At 43.5% G+C, this 19,206-nt stretch overlaps 1 long non-coding RNA gene across 5 annotated transcripts in view, besides 2 other annotated features; it reads right to left on the bottom strand.

Annotated features, from left to right (window-relative positions):
• LOC105370198 (uncharacterized) overlaps positions 1 to 19,206 on the bottom strand; it is a 114,265-nt gene that overhangs the window by 34,624 nt on the left and 60,435 nt on the right. The gene's annotated exons all lie outside the window — the stretch shown is intronic.
• Positions 13,947 to 14,066: an enhancer, noted in NCBI's record as "active region_7723". NCBI's record gives its function as "activates an Ori minimal core promoter by ATAC-STARR-seq in GM12878 lymphoblastoid cells {active_cell/tissue: GM12878}" and the evidence as "EXISTENCE:reporter gene assay evidence [ECO:0000049][PMID:35858748]".
• Positions 17,037 to 17,647: an enhancer, noted in NCBI's record as "NANOG-H3K27ac hESC enhancer chr13:48733841-48734451 (GRCh37/hg19 assembly coordinates)". NCBI's record gives its function as "activates a minimal SCP1, AML or CMV promoter by ChIP-STARR-seq in primed H9 embryonic stem cells {active_cell/tissue: H9 hESC(primed)}" and the evidence as "EXISTENCE:reporter gene assay evidence [ECO:0000049][PMID:30033119]".

Genomic DNA, 19,206 nt, shown 5'->3' on the forward strand with positions numbered 1-19,206 from the left:
ACAGCAATCAGGACTCATGGAGCCTGAAAGGTCATTGAGGTGCAGTTATTGGGACCAGCCTACGTGTTCACGTGCCCATCACAGGAGTCCTTCTAGTCACAGAGCCACTCTGCCTCTGCTTCTATTGCTCTTGATAGGGTATTTCTCTTTCTCCCTCAATCTCAATCTCAACCTCTATCCATATTCCTCAAAAGAAATTCTCTAATTTATTTGGTTAGTGATCACCTATGAGAGAGAACATTTGATCAGAATTCTTTAACATTTTTTAGACTGGGCATGGTGGCTCACACCTGTAATCCCAGCACTTTGGGAGGCCGAGGTGGGTGGATAACCTGAGGTCAGGAGTTTGAGACCAGCCTGGTCAACACGGTGAAACTCCGTCTCTACTAAAAACACAAAAAAAGTAGTCAGGTGTGGTGGTGGGTGCCTATAATCCCAGCTACTCAGGAGGCTGAGGCAGGAGAATTGCGTGACCCCTGCAGGTAGAGGTTAAAAAGTTAGCAGCTATGGTGGTGCACATCTGTAGTCCTAGCTACTTGGGAGGCTGAGGTGGGAGGATTGCTTGAGCCCAGAAATTCAAGCCTGCAGTGAGCCATGATTGTACCACTGCGCTCCAGCCTGAGCAACAGAGCAAGATCTTGTCTCTAAAAAAAAAAAAAAAAAAACATGTAGATGATGTTTAAATAATGGGATTGATGAGATTACCAAGTAGAGATTGTAGAAATGAGAAGACCTGGAAGCAACCAACATTTAAAAGTCAGACATAGAGGCTGGGTATGGTGGCTTTCACCTGTAATCCCAGCACTTTGGGAGGCCGAGGTGGGCAGATCACTTGAAGGAGTTCAAGACCAGCCTGGCCAACATGGCGAAACCCCATCTCTACTAAAAATACAAAAATTAGCCAGGCATGGTGGTGTGCGCCTGTAATCCTAACTACTCAGGAAGCTGGGGCAGGAGAATCGCTTGAACCCAGGAGGCAGAGGTTGCAGTGAGCCGAGATTGTGCCACTGCACTCTGGCCTGGGCAACAAAGCGAGACCCTGTCTAAAAAAAAAAAAAAAAAAAAAAAGTCAGACACAGAAAGTAAGACCAGCAAAGAAGACCGCAAAGGAAGAATGAAATAGGTGGGAAACCAGGAGAGCATGGTGTCAACAGAGGCCAAGATTATTTCTGGAAGAGGAGTGGAGTGAACTATGTCAAATGCTACTCAAAGTGAAGTAAGATGAGGACCGAGAAATGACCATTAGATTTGGCAAAATGGAGGACACCTTAATAAGAGCCATTTATTAGAGCGATGAAGACAAGCCCGACTGGAGTACATTGAAGGGAACTGGAGGTGAGAAAGTAGAGAGAACAAATACATATGTCTCTTTTGAGATGTTTTACCATGAAGAAAAGCACAGAGGAAATATGGGGTTAAGGAGGTTTCAAGAGGGATGAGCAATATTAAGGCATGTTTGCAAACTGTGGGAAATCATTCCATAAAGAGAGAGACTAACAGTGCAGTAAAAGGTGAATAATTGCAGGCATAAAGTCCTTGAGAAGGAGGACAAAATAGAATCCAGAGAACTCCAGAGAAGTTTTCGCCAACAGATTTTTTAACCTATGGGAGAGCAGTTTTAGGAAAACGGAGGAGGCAAAATCCAAACTGTGCGAGTTTAAGGAATGAAATATGGAACTAAAAATAACACAACTAAAATGACATTAGTGGTTCTCTCTGGGTAATACAGGATTTGGGATAATTTTTTTTTTCTGTGCTTCTTTTTACATTTCTGTGACTTTCAAATTTTCTGGAAGGAATTCTTACCACTATCATAATTAGGAAAAAAATGCAAAAAGTTTAAGAAAAGTGACGTCAGTAAGTGTACTGAATTGCATCTGTCTTGGAAGTAGGCCCACCCCTGAGAATACAGGAAGTACAGCAACAGTATCTAGACACAGACGTGACCCTGGCAGGAAGGCCGTGTTGTTCATGATGAAACTGTTTCTCCTTTTCAAATCCCCAGTCCCATATCTGCTGGGTACTACTAATTCAATGTACTCCAGATACAGGAGGAAGTCCACCCTAGCAGGCAAAACACAATAGCTAAAAAGGGTGGCTGCAGTCATTGCAGTTGTTCAGTATTGTGGTTGCCTCAGGTGAGGCTTGGAAGTCTAGGCAGATGGACACTTCACGCTACAGAAATGTCTACATGTAGGCAGCCACGCTACCAGAGTCCAAGACCAGGACTGGTGGGGTCAAAGGTGGGCTTGTAAGAACTAAGCCCCATGGCCAGGCACAGTGGCTCACGCCTGTAATCTCAGCACTTTGGGAGGCCAAGGTGGGTGGATCACCTGAGATCAGGAGTTCAAGAACCCATCTCGAACTCCCACCTCTACTAAAAGATGGGAAACCCAATCTCTACTAAAAATACAAAAATTAGCCGGGTGTGGTGGTGAGTGCCTGTTATCCCAGCTACTTGGGAGGCTGAGGCTGGAGAACTGCGTGAACCCGGGAGGCAGAAGTTGCAGTGAGCTGAGATCATGCCACTGCACTCCAGCCTGGGCAACAAGAGTGAAACTTGGTCTCAAAAAAGCAAAACAAACAAAACAAAACAAAACAAAACAAAAACAAAATTAAGCCCCCAGCAGGCGCACCATAGTGCTCCATTTAACAGAGGCCTCACATTCCTAAAGGACCTCTGAGCTGGTTATTTCCAGGTGAGGCCTCACATTTTACAGTGATGCACTAAAAGGACTGAAAGAAGGTGACTCTTACCATACAGCTTTGAACATGCTTCCCATTACTAAACCATTCATCTGTCCTGCATTATAAATTAAGGTATTTATAATCCCACAATTATTTTATGAGCAGCACAATTACATTGCATATTTTTCTTTGATTTAAAAGCCCCAAGGTTTTAGAGACATTTAAAATGTATCACATTTAAAACTAGCCCTGTTATAGTATTTCTTTATTTTCTGAAGTTAATAGACTTAATTTTTTTAGAATAGTTTCATATTTACAGAAAAATTGAGGCCAGGTGCAGTGGCTCATGCCTGTAATACCAGCATTTTGGGAGGCCGCAGAGGATAGATCACCTGAGGTCAGGAATTTGAGACCAGCCTGACCAACATGGTGAAACCCTGTCTCTACTAAAAATACAAAAAATTAGCTGGGTGTGGTTGTGTGTGCCTGTAATCCCAGTTACTAGGGAGGCTGAGGCAGGAGAATAGCTTGAACCCAGGAGGCAGAGGTTGCAGTGAGCTGAGATTGCACCATGGTTGCAGTGAGCCAAGATCGCACCACTGCACTCCAGCCTGGGCAACAGTGCGAGACTTCATCTCAAAAAAAAAGAAAAAAAGAAAAAAAAAGAAAAATTGAGCAGATAGCATAGAGTTCCGATGTTCTCCCTCCACCTCCACCCTGCTCCCAGCACAGTTTCCCCTATTATTCATATTTTGTGTTAGTGTGGTTTATTGTTACAATTGATGAAAACCAATATTGGTACATGATTGGTACCAGTTATTGGACTTTACCAACTAAAGTCCATAGTTTACATTCGGGTTCACTCTTGCTGTTGTACAGTTCTATAGGTTTTGACAGAAGTATAAGGTCATGTATTCACCATCATGGTGTCATACAGAGTAGTTTTGCTGCTCTAAAAATCCCCTGTGCATCACCTGTTCACTTTTCCCCCTCTTCACTCCCCTTGGCAACCACTGATCTTTTTACTGTCTCTATAGTTTTGCCTTTTCCAGTATATCATACAGTTGGAATCATAGAGTATACAGTCATCTCAGATTGGCTTCTTTCATTTAGAAATGCTCATTTAAATTTCTTTTTGTGACTAGATAGTTCATTTCTTTTTATCACTGATTATTATAACATTGTCTGGATATACCACAGTTTTTTTATCCACTCACCCATTGAAAGACATCTGGTTGCTTCTAATTTTTGGCAATTGTGAATAAAGCTGCTATAAACATCTGTGCACAGGTTTTTGTGTGGCCATAAATTTTCAGTTCAATTAGGTAAATACCAAGGAGCATGACTGGTAGATCACATGGTAAGACTATGTTTATCTTTGTAAGAAACCATCAAACTGTCTTCCAAAGTGGCTGTGCCATTTTGCACTCCCACCAGCAGTGAATGAGAGTTCCTGTTGCTCTATATCCTTGCCAACACTTGGTGTTGTCAGTGTTCTGGATTTTGGCCATTCTAATAGGTATGTAGTGGTAACCCATTGTTGTTTTAATTTCCAATTTTCTAACGCTATATAATGTGGAGCATCTTTTTATATGAATATTTGTCATCTATATCTTCTTCCGGGAGATGTCTGTTATGTCTGTTCAGACCTTTGTCCACTTTTTAATGGCCTTTTTTTTTCTGAGACGATGTCTTGTTCTTGTCCCCCAGGCTGGAGTGCAACAGTGCAATCTCGGCTCACTGCAACCATGGCATGATCTTGGCTCACTGCAACCTCCGCCTTCGGTGTTCAAGCGATTCTCCTGTCTCAGCTTCCCGAGTAGCTGGGATTACAGGCAGCTGCTACCACGCCTGGCTAATTTTTGTATTTTTAGCAGAGATGAGGTTTCACCATGTTGGCCAGGCTGGTCTCAAACTCCTGACCTTGTGATCCACCCGCCTCGGCTTCCCAAAGTGCTGAGATTACAGGCGTGAGCCACTGCGCCCAGCCTCTTTTCCTATTTTTGAGTTTTAAAAATTCTTTGTATGTTTCGGACACAAGTCCTTTATCAGATATGTATTTTGCAGATATTTTCTCTTGGTCTATGTCTTGTCTTTTCATTCACTTAACGTTTATTTAATATACTAAGAGCCTAAAAAATTGCAAGTGTCTCAGGCTTCCCTTGACCTCTGAGAAAGTACAGATGAGATAGGTGATGCAAATAAGAATTTCCGGACCTGTTTGGCCATGAGACATAGCAGCTCCTATCCACTCAGACCACTAGTCCTTGGGGATCAAGGAAGAAAAGAGAAATAGTCATATCACCCTACCATATGCCAAACACAAAGCATTTTACATACATTATTCCATAGCTACCTTAAGTAAATCGTGTCGGGTGCAGTGGTTCACACCTGTAATTCCAGCACTTTGGGAGGCTGAGGCGGGCGGATCACGAGGTCAGGAGTTAGAGACCAGCTTGGCCAATATGGTGAAACCCCATCTCTACTAAAAATACAAAACTTAGCCAGGCATGGTGGTGTGCGCCTGTAGTCCCAGCTACTCGGGAGGCTGAGGCAGGAGAATCGCTTGAACCGGGGAGGCGGAGGTTGCAGTGAGCTGAGATCGAGCCACTGCACTCCAGCCTGGGTGACAGAGCAAGATTCTGTCTCAAAAAAAAGAAGTAAGTCGTATCATTTAGATAGGAAGAAACCCATCAAAGCTATTAAGTATCAAACAAGTGAAACTATCCAAGGTCTCATATCTATGATGTGGCAGAATTGGGATTCAACTCCATAACAAACATCCCTGGGCCAGATACAAGACTACCCTGTCTCAAGGCAGGTCCCACAGGGGATGGAGAAAAGCGCAGTCCACCGCATGTAGAGGGTGCTGGAGTGGGGCTCATTCTGTGCCAGGGTTGAGATCTCAGGGGCTCTGCTCGCGGGTGGAAGAACTGCTCCCATTAAGATGGATCTAGAAGGTCTCTTTGGTTTCAAACAAGATCTCAATAAACAGTGGAGATATAGGGAATGGAGTCTAATTTTTCAGGGACAAGAAATAGGCAAAAATTAAGCAGGGTATTAAGGCTTTAAACAAGCAGGCTGAAGCCCAGCACAAGCCTGCGACAGAGCTAGGGAAATGGAGCAGAAATGAAGCAAGCTCGGTCACACTGCCACACCAGCAACGTGGTGGGATGCTGAGAGAACCTACTCCTAAGGGGGTGAGAGAGCCTGGGCCTACCACAGGATCCCCAGCTACAGACAGCAAGGCCCACTCCTGCACTGCTGATTGGTGGGTCTGAGTCTGTCTTCTCAGGGACAAACTGAAGGTCTGCACATGGTTAAGGTTTCCTGTTAAACGTCCTCAGAGCCTGCCATGGAAGGGAACAGTCCAAAAGCTTCAAGGAAAGCAGAGACCGCAAGCAGAGGCTCAAGCCATAAGTCAGGACTTGGGGAAAAAAGCGAAGAACCCAATTATCAGAAGTGAGCACCAAGCTCAGCACTAACTGATGCCTGTTCTCCGTGCTGAGCTAGGAAATGCTGAAACTCCCCTGACTTTAAGACCCATCCCAGAGGTGAGCTTGGGGTTTTTAGCTTAAAGGTGGGGCCTGGTGGGCCTAGTGATAGAAACAAGGCTGTAGTAAATGAAGAGCACACCTGTGCCAGGCTGGCAGCTGGGACTCTAAGGGGAAGAAGACTTGGTCAACAGACTCTGCGGACCAGAAAAATTCTGCAAACCGAAATTCCAAACCCTTTAAGATTCAGGTGCACTGTATATAATGCAATAGAAATGTTCCTGAAAAGCAATATATAAATCAAATTTTTGTAAATTGATACTTTGAGTGACCCAGAGGAATTTGCTGCTTAAAGGAAATTATTATTTTTGTAAATCTGGTTTCAACTCAATTGGATTTTCTTAAATGGAGCGTTCTTTTAATCTGATTTTCTTCTATCAGAGACTGAGACATATATCTCTGATATGTCAAAAAAAAAAAAAAGTAATACAGCTGGGCATGGTGGTACATGCCTGTAGTCTTAGCCACTCAGGAAGCTGAGGTGGGAAGACTGCTTGAGCACAGGAGTTTGAGGCTGCAATGAGCTATGATCACAGCACTGTACTCCAGTCTGGGTGTCAGAGCAAGATCCCGTCTCTGAAAAAAAATAATTAAAAATAATAGATACTACTAGTACATCTTGATTTTAGCAAGGTTTAAATTGTATTCCTTACAATATATTCATTAAATTAAAAAATGTGGTCTAGGCCAGGTGTGGTGGCTCATGCCTGTAATCCCAGCACTTTGGGAGGCTGAGGTGAGTGGATCATGAGGTCAGGAATTCAAGACCAGCCTGGCCAGCATGGTGAAACCCCGTCTCTACTAAAAATACAAAAAATTAGCCGGGCGTGGTGGTGCGTGCCTGTAATCACAGCTACTCGAGAGGCTGAGGCAGGAGAATCGCTTGAACCCAGGAGGTGGAGGTTGCCGTGAGCCGAGATTGTGCCACTGCACTCCAGCCTGGATGACACAGCAAGACTCTGTCTCAAATAAAAAAAAAATAGATAAAGTAAAATTAAAAATGTGGTCTAAACCAGTGGTTCTTACATCTGACTGTACACAGAATTAAACTGGGAGTTTTATAAAATACTGATTCCTGGGCCCACCACTTCAGCTTCTGATTCACTGGGAAACACAGGAGGGTACCAGGGGCTCCCCAACAGGAGCCTATGGCTTAGAAGCCTTTGTGCAGCCATAGACATTGACAGCAAAATGAGGTTAACCCAGAGATGATCTCACTGCCACCATCCCAGGACCTCCCTTCCCCAGTACCTATGGAAAAACAGTTCCAGCTTACACTGAGCACAATGATCCCATGATGATGGGGGCCACTGGCCACATAAGGTGGGGGTTCTCTAAAGCCAAGAAGTGGCAGCCACTCTCCATACCGACGTGAGACCAGACCCTGGTTACAGCAGCTCCCTTGGCTTCAGAACCAGGCCTTCAGGTACAAGGCAGGGTGTGTCATTCTCCCCAGGGGCCTATGACCTTCATGGAGAATTCTAGCAACATGATTTTATATCCACTTGCATCATACCTAAAACTTATTAGAAGAAAACTGAATATGGTCTTGTGATAAACAGAATAATACCCATCCCCTCCCCCCACCAGTGACGTCCACATCCTACTCCTTGACACTGTGAATATGTTAGGTCACACAGTAAAAACAGATGGTTGCTAATCTACTGTTTTAACTGACTGACGGATGGGAAGATTATCCTGGTTTCTCTGAGGGGGCCCGAAGTAATCACAAGGGTCCTTAGAAGCTGAACAGGGGGGCAACAGAGAGATCAAGAGAGATAACAGCATGAGAAGGACTCAGCTCCACATTGCCAGGAAATGGGGCCACAAGCCAAGGGATGTGGACAGCCTTTAGAAGTTGGAAAAGGTTGGCTGGGCATGGTGGCTCATGCCTGTAATCCCAGTGCTTTGGGAGGCCGAGGCGGATGGATCACGAGGTCAGGAGACCAGCCTTCCAACAGAGTTATGTTGTAACCCCATCTCTATTAAAAATATAAAATATTAGCCAGGTGTGGTGGCAGGCGCCTGTAATCCCAGCTACTCAGGAGGCTGAGGCAGGAGAATCTCTTGAACCTGGGAGGCGGAGGTTGCAGTGAGCCGAGACCGTGCCACTGCACTCCAGCCTGGGCAACAGAGCAAGACTCCATCTCAAAAATAAAAAAAAAAAGTTGGGAACGGTGGCCTGGCCCAGTGGTTCATGTCTGTAATCCCAGCACTTTGGGAGGCCGAGGCAGGTGGATCACCTGAGGTCAGGAGTTCAAGACCACCCTGGCCAACATGGTGAAACCCCGTCTCTACTAAAAAATATATAAAAAATTAGCCAGGCATGGTAGTGGGCACCTGTAATCCCAGGTACCCAGGAGGCTGAGTCAGGAAGAATTGCTTGAACCTGGGAGGCAGAGGTTGCAGTGAGCCGAGATCGTGCCACTGTACTCCAACCTGGGCGACAGAACAAGACTCTGTCTCAAAGAAGAAGAAGAAAAAAAAAAGGTTAAAAAAGGCAAGAGACAGATTGCTCTACTCTAAAGCTATCAAAGAGACACACATTGCTGCTGACACCTTGATTTAGCCTAATGAGACCCACATCAGGCTTCTGACCTCCAGAACTGCAAGATAATAAATTTGCATTGCTTTAAACCACTAAATTTCTAGTAATTTTTTTTTTACAGCAGAAACAGGAAACTAAAACCCATGACCAAGTTCTCAAATTTTGTTTTTTGTTAGAATGCAAGGAAAGGAAAGTAGAACTTAAAAGTCTGGCAGATTCTCCTTTTTGTTGCAAGGCCCTGCAAGTCACCCCAATATTTTACTTTTCTTCTCTTTAATAGACAAAGAAAATTGTGTATCTAAGGTGACCGGGCTCATTTATCAGGCCAAGTTTTTAGCACAGTATGATAGGATTGTGGTAAGATCCAGGATCCATATTTTAAAAATCTCCCTAGGCATCTCTAATATGCAGCCAGGTTTGCAAACCACTGGTCTACAATTTAAATTCTAACCAACATAATTACGACGTGGCTGCATTCCTAGAGAATGAGTACCGGTGGGTTATCATTAATCTGGGAGGACAGAACACAGGTGATGAAGATTCTCATTCTGTGACCTGCAGCATGGAATGGCCAGCATGTGAATTCAATGTGAATGTGGCACCAAATGGAAAACAGGAGGAGGAGGGCATTTTAATTCACTAATGAGGGTTGTTAGGACGGACAGTTTATTGATTCTCAGGGCAGGTGACAGCAGACTGAGGAGGTGCCAGATGAGTTGCTGGGAGTTGAATGCAGTTCAGAGAAGGCAAATGCAGGATAATATACCGTCTGTAACAGGGAAGGACACAGCACAATAACTGGCAGGGCTGGGGAAGACCTTGCAAAATTAGAAAAGTGTCCAGAGACAAGGTCAGTGCTGCAGAGTAGGGGGTGTGAGGGGATGCAGGAGGGCCACTGGCGTGGGCCTCCATTCACATATGTCCTGAAATTTAGACTCCTGACATCTCTCAATATCTGATAAGGTGTTTGTTAATGTAAAAACATGCAAAGCATGCCAGTTTAATAATTTCATTTTTGCATCGTTTCCTTTGTTAATGTATGGGGAGCCTGAAAACATGAGGCTAGTGGCCCAGATGTCTCAACTTCAAAAGTCCATGGTGGCTCACAAGATCCATTCAGCCCTGCAGTTTATGAAGCAATCCTAAGTGGACCCCCATAGGATATTTTTGGAAGGACACACCAAGAACAGTGAGGGTCTCTAGTGATCTGGGCCAGGAGAGTTGGAATCCAGAGAGGAAAAGAGATTTACTTGTTTTTTTTCCTAAATACAATTTTAATAGATCCTATTTTTGTTTTCCTCTTTTCCTCCCAGAGTTATACATGCCTTTAATCCAAAATGTCAAACAAGTCTTGTTATTAAAAAAAATAGCAGTCCTTTAATCTCTCCTCCCCATTTTCTACACTTTAACCTTTTAGATAATTCTTTTGGTATTTACTTTCAGGTGTCTACATTAACATGCTTGAAATACTGTTCCTTGATTTTTCAACTATAGCCATTATCTATAGATAATGGGTAGAAGATTAGGATTTGGTGTCTTTCCTCCTGCTGTCCCAGTGGGATACACTTATCCTTCCCCATCTCCCATCCTTCCAACAGAATTATGTTGTAATGCTGGTAACGTGAATGTTCAATGTGTATGTTAGAGCAATAGTCACAGCTAAGCCATATAGTAAACTATGACCACTTTCTCTTTTCTGAACACCTTTTTTTTCTTTGAGACAGGGTTGCTCCTGGAGCTAATAACTGTTTTGGTTTTCGTTTGCTTCATTTTCTGTGTACAGTATTTATATTTTCTATTGGTCTATGTCTGCTGTCAAGGCATTCAGAATTTTCAGATAGTCTAATAATTTCACCAGTCTCCTAAAAAAAACTCTCCCATAGCCTTATAGAATATGCTCTAACCCGCACCTGAGACATAGCTCTCATCTTGGAATCTCCCTTCACCAGCATCCCAGAGATTCTCTTGCCTTGTTCCTGTTTAAACTTCAGAGTCCTCTTTCTTAGTTTATTATTTTGACATATGTTTGGGGACATCCTAAGGCAGGGACATGGAATATAAATTCTCGAGAAGTTGGATGTCAGAAAATGTTTATTTTTACTCTACTCTGACACTTGATGGATTCTTTGGGCCAAGTATAGAATTCTAGAGTGGAAACAATTTTTCTTGAGAATTTTGAAAGCCATTCCAATCTGGCCTTCAGGGTTGCTATTGAGAAGTCTGATGCCATTCTGATTTGTCATCCTTTAGGTAGGACTTGTTTGCTCCTCCTCTTTGGAAGCCTGTAGCACCTGTTCTTTGTCCTCACTGTTTTGAGATATCACACTGGTGTGCCTTAGCGTCAGTCTATTCTCTTTGTGCTGGCATTTGGTGGCCCTTTCATTCCAAAAATGCATGCTTGTTAGTTGTGGGAAATTATTTCTTTAATGACTTTCACTCCTCTGGTTTCTCTGTTCACTCTTTTTGGAAATCCTATTTGCAATATTAAACCTTCTGTTCTGTTTTCCTGATTTTCCTTTCTTTTTTTTTTTTTTTTTTTTTGAGACAGAGTCTCGCTCTGTCGCCCAGGCTGGAGTGCAGTGGTGCAATCTCGGCTCACTGCAACGTCTGCCTCCCAGGTTCAAGCAACTCTCATGCCTCAGCCTCCCAAGTAGCTGGGATTACAGGTGCCTGCCACCAAGCCCAGCTATATTTTCCTGATTTTCTTGTATTTCCTTTCGTTTGTCCTTCTGTTTTCTCTTTTGCTCTAATTTCAGAGAGATTTGCTTTTCTTTATTTTCTAACTCTTATTGAATTTTTAATTTTGTTATCATATTTCTAATTTCCAAGAGCTCTTATGTGTTCCCTGAATGCTCCTTTTACTAATGTTATATTCCTTTTTGATGGTTATATGTCTTACCTCTGAGGATATTAATCAGAGGATATTTGACATTTTCTTCAACCTGTACAGTCTCTCTTTCCTTGAAGTTGCTTTTTCCTATTCATCTTGGTCTCTGTTTTTCATGTGAGAGGTTTTCCTCAGTGCCTGTTAAACCTTGATTATCTGTTAATATTTAAGAATGGAGCTAAAAAGCTGAGTAGATATTTTGAACCAATAGGGCCTTGTTGGCCAGAGGCTCCACGACACGTTCTGGCTGGGTTATCTGGCTAAAGGACCCACACAGCACTGCCTTTAAATTTTCACTCTTGGGGAGATCAAATTCCCCTTAGAAGACTCTTCCGGGCTCATGCTCAAAGGATATAATTCTGGCCACCACATCATGGGAGCTCACTGGGGAAAGAGCAGTGGGTCTCAGTGTCTGTCCACTTAATTTCTCGGTTTCCAGCACAGCACCCAGCCCTCATCTCTGCCCAGTGTCCTCCTATCTGTGGACCTTCTGTTATAGACTCTGCGGTGCGGACAGGCTACCGGCCTGGTTGTGCAGAGAGGGGAGGGACCTGAGAGTCAAACTGCTTCCTAAACAGACTTTGAACCACTCCTAGTTTTAGGAGGCCCCACATCACTTCCAGGAACCTGGCGCTGCCAATTCCTGAGCCTTTGTGGGATTCTGGTTGGTTTCTCAAATTTCCTCACTGCTGACTTAGGATTCAGTTTTCCTAGGTCTGTTGTATTGTTGGCCACACTTCTTACTTTCTAGCTTTCAAAATATTGTTGCTATGGGGAGTTGAAAAAAAATGTTGTTGCTATCATTTCTTCCCTTTTTATCAGAAAGATAAAAAATGCCAAATGCCAGCACAAAGAGAATAGACCCACACTAAGGCACACCAGTGTGATAGCTCAAAACAGTGAGGACAAAGAACAGATGCTACAGGCTTCCAAAGAGGAGGAGCAAACAAGTCCTACCTAAAGGATGACAAATCAGAATGGCATCAGACTTCTCAATAGCAACCCTGAAGGCCAGATGTGTGTGTCTGTGTGTGTGTTTTGTTCTCCATCTGCACCTGGAAGTTGGGAGATTTACTTATCACTCTTTAATTTTTTCTGTTGTTTTATTGTTTAATCAATGTTTTAGTTACAAACTATTAATTATCGCAAATTGTTTCACATTTTTTTTTTTTTTTTTTTTTGAGATGGAGTTTCTCTCTGTTACCCAGGCTGGAGTGCAATGGCGCAATCTCAGCTTACTGCAACTTCCCCCTGCCGGGTTCAAGCGATTCTCCTGCTTCGATTCTCCTGCTTCAGCCTCCTGAGTAGCTGGGATTACAGGTGTGTGCCACCACACCCAGCTAATTTTTGTATTTTTAGTAGAGACGGGGTTTCATTATGTTGGTCAGGCTGGTCTCAAACTCTTGACCTTGTGATCCGCCCACCTCAGCCTCCCAAGGTGCTGGGATTACAGGCGTGAGCCAAGTGCCTGGCAAGAATTGTTTTGCTTTTTAAGATAATCTAGTTCATTTTTTTCAAAGCAGCTATGAGAGTATAGCATGTAAAAACTGCAAAATAATGATCAGCCTTTAAGGCTTTGAGTGGTTCCCAAGTGCTGAGCTCTGTCATATCTGCATGTATCTGCATGTATGTGCATGTATATTTACAAAGGAGACAGCTGTGGCTGACATGGAGAAGGTAATGTACCCACAAATTGTGACACAAGACCAATAAAAAATAATACAGCTATAAGCAGGAAATGAAGTAGGTCACAATGAGTCATCATCCGTTGTGTGAAATTTCTTAGGTTATTGTTACCTCAGCCCAGAGAAGAGTTTTCAATTCAGTTGCACACGAGTTATCCCACTTATAATGAATCTTCTGAAGCCATTAGTTGTTTCCTAATTTTTTGATTGTACATCCTTATAAGAAAAACATTTCAGCATACCCTCAAATATGTAAATGTATTTATTTGCAGGTTATACATGTCATATCAATATCAGTACAATACTAACATCCAAATAAGTAGAGATTTTTTTAGAGGATGCAATAGAAAATAAAATTAGAAGTTCTAATATTTTCCTTGAGTACCTCAGTGGATCATCTTAAACACCATGGAATTTTCCACCACGATGAATATCCAAACACTTAGACAAGGTTTTTGAAAGACTCCTACTCAGACCCTACCGAGGCATTCTGAATCAGAACTTCTGAGGGTAAGGCCCTAATGAGACAGCCAAACGCCAAGGCAGATAAAAAGGGGTCCCCGGAGAATCTCTAACCCTCCCCACAGGTGTTTACATCAGATGTTTTTGTGCAGACGAAGGAACTTGCCCAGGGCCTTGTCTGAGCATGCCCACATGAGCCCTGGGGGAGCAGGGTGGAGTCACAGGCAGGGGGAGGAGCCCTGGGATTCAATCTGTGAAGTGGGGAGCCTGTTTTCGCTTTGCTGAGGTTTTTTTTCATTTTTCCCTTTTCACCCAATAAAATCCTGCTCTATTCACCCTTCAATGTGTCCACGTGCCTAATTTTCTTGGTCATGTGACAAGAACCTGGTTTTAGCTAAACCAGGAGCAAAATTCTAAAACACTAGCAAGGACATTTTGAAAAAGTTTCCCTGCTGATTCCCATGTGCACCTTTGGTTTAAAAATACAATTCTAAAGATACAAGAATTAGAACCCCTAAAGGCCAGGTGCAGTGGTTCACGCCTGTAATCCCAGCACTTTGGGAAGCCGAGGCGGGCGGATCATGAGGTCAGGAGTTCGAGACCATCCTGACCAACATGGTGAAGCTCCGTCTTTACTAAAATACAAAAATTAGCCCAGTGTGGTGGCGGGTGCCTGTAATCCCAGCTACTCGGGAGGCTGAGGCAGGGGAATTGCTTGAACCCGGGAGGCAGAGGTTGCAGTGAGCCAAGATCGCGCCACTGTACTTCAGCCTGGGCGACAGAGCCAGACTCCATCTCAAAAAAAAAAAAAAATTAGAATCCCTAAAACACTGAACATAGTAGTCAAATGGCTACTGAATGCAAAGATCAGTCAATTAACTCTGGGAAATGTATAGTTCAACAGATTATCTGGATCATCATGTGCCTCAAAAAACATTGTGCTCTCCTCCCAACTCCATATTTTTCTTCCTCTGACTCTGTCCTTTCCTTTCTATTTTATTAATTTATTATTATTATTATTTTTTGAGATGGAGAGCTCTCTAAGTTGCGCAGGCTGCTCTCAAATGATCCTCCTGCCTCAGCCTCCCAAGGTGCTGGGATCACAAGTATAAGCCAACATGCCTGGCCTCCCCTCACTTTTAATATAACTTGAACTTTACTATTATATGCATAGATATTCATTATAGAAAATATAGATAAGCAAAAAAGAAGAAAATAAAAATGAATTCATAATTCTACCATTCCAAAATAATGAAAATGTTTACTCATAGCTTTCAATATATTTATGCAAACATGTATTTAAAAGGGAATCGGCCGGGGGCAGTGACTCACGTGTGTAATACCAGCACTTTGGGAGGCCGAGGTGGGCAGATCACCTGAGATCAGGAGTTTGAGACCAGCCTGGCCGACATGGTGAAACCCCGTCTCTACTAAAAATACAAAAATTAGCAGGGCATGGTGGCAGATGCCGGTAATCCCAGGTACTCCAGAGGCTGAGGCAGGAGAATTGCTTGAACCCAGGAGGAGGAGGTTACAGTGAGCCGAGATCGTGCCATTGCACTCCAGCCTGGGAGACAAGAGTGAAACTCCATCTCAAAATATATATATAAATAAATAAATATAAAAGGGAATCATACTGTACATGCCATTTTTAACCTGACTTTCTTCACTGTGTAATTATGTATTTTTTTCCGAGAAAATAAGAATGAAAGCTCTGACAGAGCCAGGAACAGTGGCAAGAGAGCTGATCGGCAAAGAGCAGGTGGTGAGATCAGAAACTCCCCCACTAACCTGCTGAACTGCCATCCTCTCCCTCATATTCTCTTCCCTCTACCTTCTGATCCTCCCTGACTTCATCTCTCTTCCTCTGTTTGCCTTCTACATGCTCTTTCCCTTTCTCTTTTCTTTCACCTTCTACCCTCAATTCTCTCTACTAAAGCAACCAAGGCCTTCAGGACAAGGATTAATATTTAATAGAATTAAACTTCCTGTTAATTTGACAAGGGATGCATAACCAGGAAGCTGGAGTGACAGCTGCACCCTCCTCTGAAGTGGGGATTTTCTGAGCAAGCCCAAGCAAGAGCCCTCTGTTCTTCTACTTTTTTTTTTTTTTTTGAGACAGAGTTTCGTTCTTGTTGCCCAGGCTGGAGTGCAATGGCATGATCTTGGCTCACTTCTCCTGCCTCAGCCTCCCAAGTAGCTGGGATTACAGGCATGTGCCACCATGCCCGGCTAATTTTGTATTTTTAGTAGAGACGGGGTTTCACCATGTTAGTCAGGCTTGTCTCCAACTCCTGATCTCAGGTGATCCACCTGCCATGGCCTCCCAAAGTGGGATTACAGGCATGAGCCACCACACCCAGCCTGAGCCCTCTGTTCTTGATAACTATCTGTTATTTCCACTCGGGAGCCCAAATTAAAGTTCCTTATTTGTCTTAGAAGCAAGGTGCGGCCAGAGGCAGCGGGGTACCCAGGTTGTCAGAGAAGAGCCATGTCAGGAAGATTGCATTTCTGGAATTGAAACCAAGGGAGAGATGGTTGACAGAAGGTGAGGACTGAGAAGGAGGCAGGCATGAAAATCCAGAACAAACCAGCTGTGGAGCTTTCCCACTGGTGTTACAAAACCGGTCACAGAAAACCAGTTCCTCTTGCTTTAGGTGGCAAGAATCTTCTACATGCTGGTTACCTCAACCCCACTGACAAAGACATTTCCACCTGCAATTATTAATCCACTGCTAGTGAGGAAAGTTTTCTGAACTTTGAAAACTTCATTGGGCTGGTGTGAAAGAAAGTAAGCACTTTCTACTACAGTGAAGCCAAATTGTGTTTTTCAGAGGCTGTGGAAAATTATTATTTTCATTAAATGCAAATCATTGCCCTCAAACCAATGACGTTCTTAGGCATGAAATTGTCATTGGCTTTATTAACTAGGAGAGGCTACATTACCCAACTCTCTAAAGGCACTCTGCTGTAGAAGGTTCTAGAAAATGAATGGAAAGTGACTCATTCTCCACCTTCATCCCCAAAACCAAAACTCCCCCTGCAGCAAAACACCCCCTGCAGCAGCAGGAGTTTATGGATCATCCTCAGAGTGGGGGTGTAGCACATGGGCCACTAGATGCTTCAGGGGGCAGCAATTAAGTGCTTCACCAGGGGCATTAGTCACAGTGGGTGGGACCCTCCCTGTCACCCTGCAGAAATGGGAGCCAGAGAAGCTGGTAATAACTGAAGAGAGGGAGGCCCCATCCCCTACAACCTCTCCCTTTTCCCAGCAGCAAGTACTGAATAAGCAGCACTTAGCATATGTACAAGGTCAGAAAGGAGGTGAAAAATAGGGAGAAGGTGTTTTGACATAAATATTTCCAGAAAGGATCTCTTAAGGGAGAGCATCTCTGGCTTATGGCAGAGTTAAAACTTAAAAAAGAAAAAAAAATTATTCGAAAAAAACTAGAAAAAGTTTTCCTCCTCCTCACCCCGAGAAACAAATCTCTACTTGTAGTGGCGCCTGAAGTTTAACCATTAGTGACTCATTCCTTTGTGAACTGCAGGAGACTTGGCATTTAAGAGGTCTGTATTGAAATGCAAATATTTATGAGACCTGCCAATAATTTTCACTAGTATCAGAATCCTTGAGATGACCTTCAAATACAGATTCCTGGTGGCATAGACATGCATAGTTTGTACCCCTAGTCCTCACTACAACCATGACCTTCAGGCAATAGATGGGTTCTCCAGTTCTCTGGCTTCTGATGGGACCCTGATGTAGTTAACTTAAGTTCTTGCTTTTCCAGGTTAGAAAATGATTTCCACTGTGGCGACAGTTTGGCTACCTCAATCAGAACTGACCCTTTATAGTTAAAGATGGAAGCAAAATGGAAAACTGTAAATAGTTGGGCTTTTTAAATTTTGGCATGTCAAAAGGGAGGGCGGCTATACAGGAGTAAACACTGTCACCTTCCTCCACTGAATCCATGGCCCCTTCCTATATCTTGTCTCGTTCTTTTCTCCTTGGTTTCTCTACAATTACATTCTCTTTCTCCTTTTTCTCCTACCCCTCAAGACACAGACATACTAGGAATGCAATCATATTTGTCTTATATGTACTTAATAATTTAGTACTTTCTTTACACAACATGGTGAGAAATAAAATTCTAAGCCCCCAACTGACTGAATGGACCCTCTCTTGGCCAAAGGAGCCCCAAAGAAACCTTGGAAGCTGAATTCATGGCCACAGTCTGACACCTCCTCCCTCGATAAAAGTCATTAGGTTTCCTTCTCGAAGGTCTAAACAGAAACCAGCCCTTTCAACAGACTACTAGCTTGTCTTCCCAGACACAGTACAAAGACAAGATGAGGTTAATGGTTCCTTCATCACTCCCCAAGACCTCTGCTTCCTCTATTCCCTTTTTCTTCAATGCTGGCCTTACCTTGTGTAAAATGTAGATTTTGGGGGCACTAGTTAAGTCTCACAAATACATTCTCATTGGTCTCACTGTCACCCCTCCTCCACCCCTTTTAAAGGAAAATGAATAAATACTAAACCTCCTGAGAATCTCTTTGGAAAAAACAGCCACAGATGCTTCTGTGACTCATGTTTTTTTCCCGGGCACGCCCTCACACTGGCTCAAAACCTGGATGATTTGAATCTTATGCTTCAATCACTCATTTTGGTTTTCAATAGGTTTAATATTTTACTTGAGAATAGAGTCGTGTCAGTGAGCTGGACTTTTTTACTCAATGGGCTTAGCAGCCATGACAGGGGAAAAAGGGTCTTCCCTCTGTTTCATGATGTTAAGAGTGAAGGGATCATTGATCAGGTGCTGAGAGCCACAGGGCCACCTAAAGAGTGTCAGAGGATAATAAGGGTGAGTTGGGGGTTTGAAAAAACAAGACCAAGGACAAGATCCCCCTCCTTCTCAAACTGGCAAAGAACAAGTTAAAATCAGCCCTGACCAGTGAGCCCTGGTTAACAGTCCACCCTGGGGCAGCAGCAAAGACCCCACAGGTTGCTCTCTGCTCATGCCCTCTGTAAGATTTCCTCAGGTGGGGAGGGCACATGGGGCCCAGGGTTATTCTGTAGAGTTGGGACAACCATAATGTACCTCTTCTGCCTGTTGGCCTCCTTTTCCCCACTTCAATACATACAGGTGAAATCAAATGAAAATTAACACCAAGGACCCCACAAAGGGTAAAGAAGCCACTACAAGCCAAGAAAGCAGAGTGTGTGGACAAAAGAAGGGGGGAAGTAAGTCACTCCAGATTCTCTGGGTTGCTAGGTGTAGTTTGGAAGACAAAGTTACTGATATTTTCAAGCTTCAGCTGGCCAAGCCCTCTTCTCCTCTAGGTGGGATGCCTCCATGAGCTCCAACAGGCAGCCTCGCC

This window comes from Homo sapiens, chromosome 13, assembly GCF_000001405.40.
Source record: "Homo sapiens chromosome 13, GRCh38.p14 Primary Assembly".
NCBI classification, from domain to species: domain Eukaryota; kingdom Metazoa; phylum Chordata; class Mammalia; order Primates; family Hominidae; genus Homo; species Homo sapiens.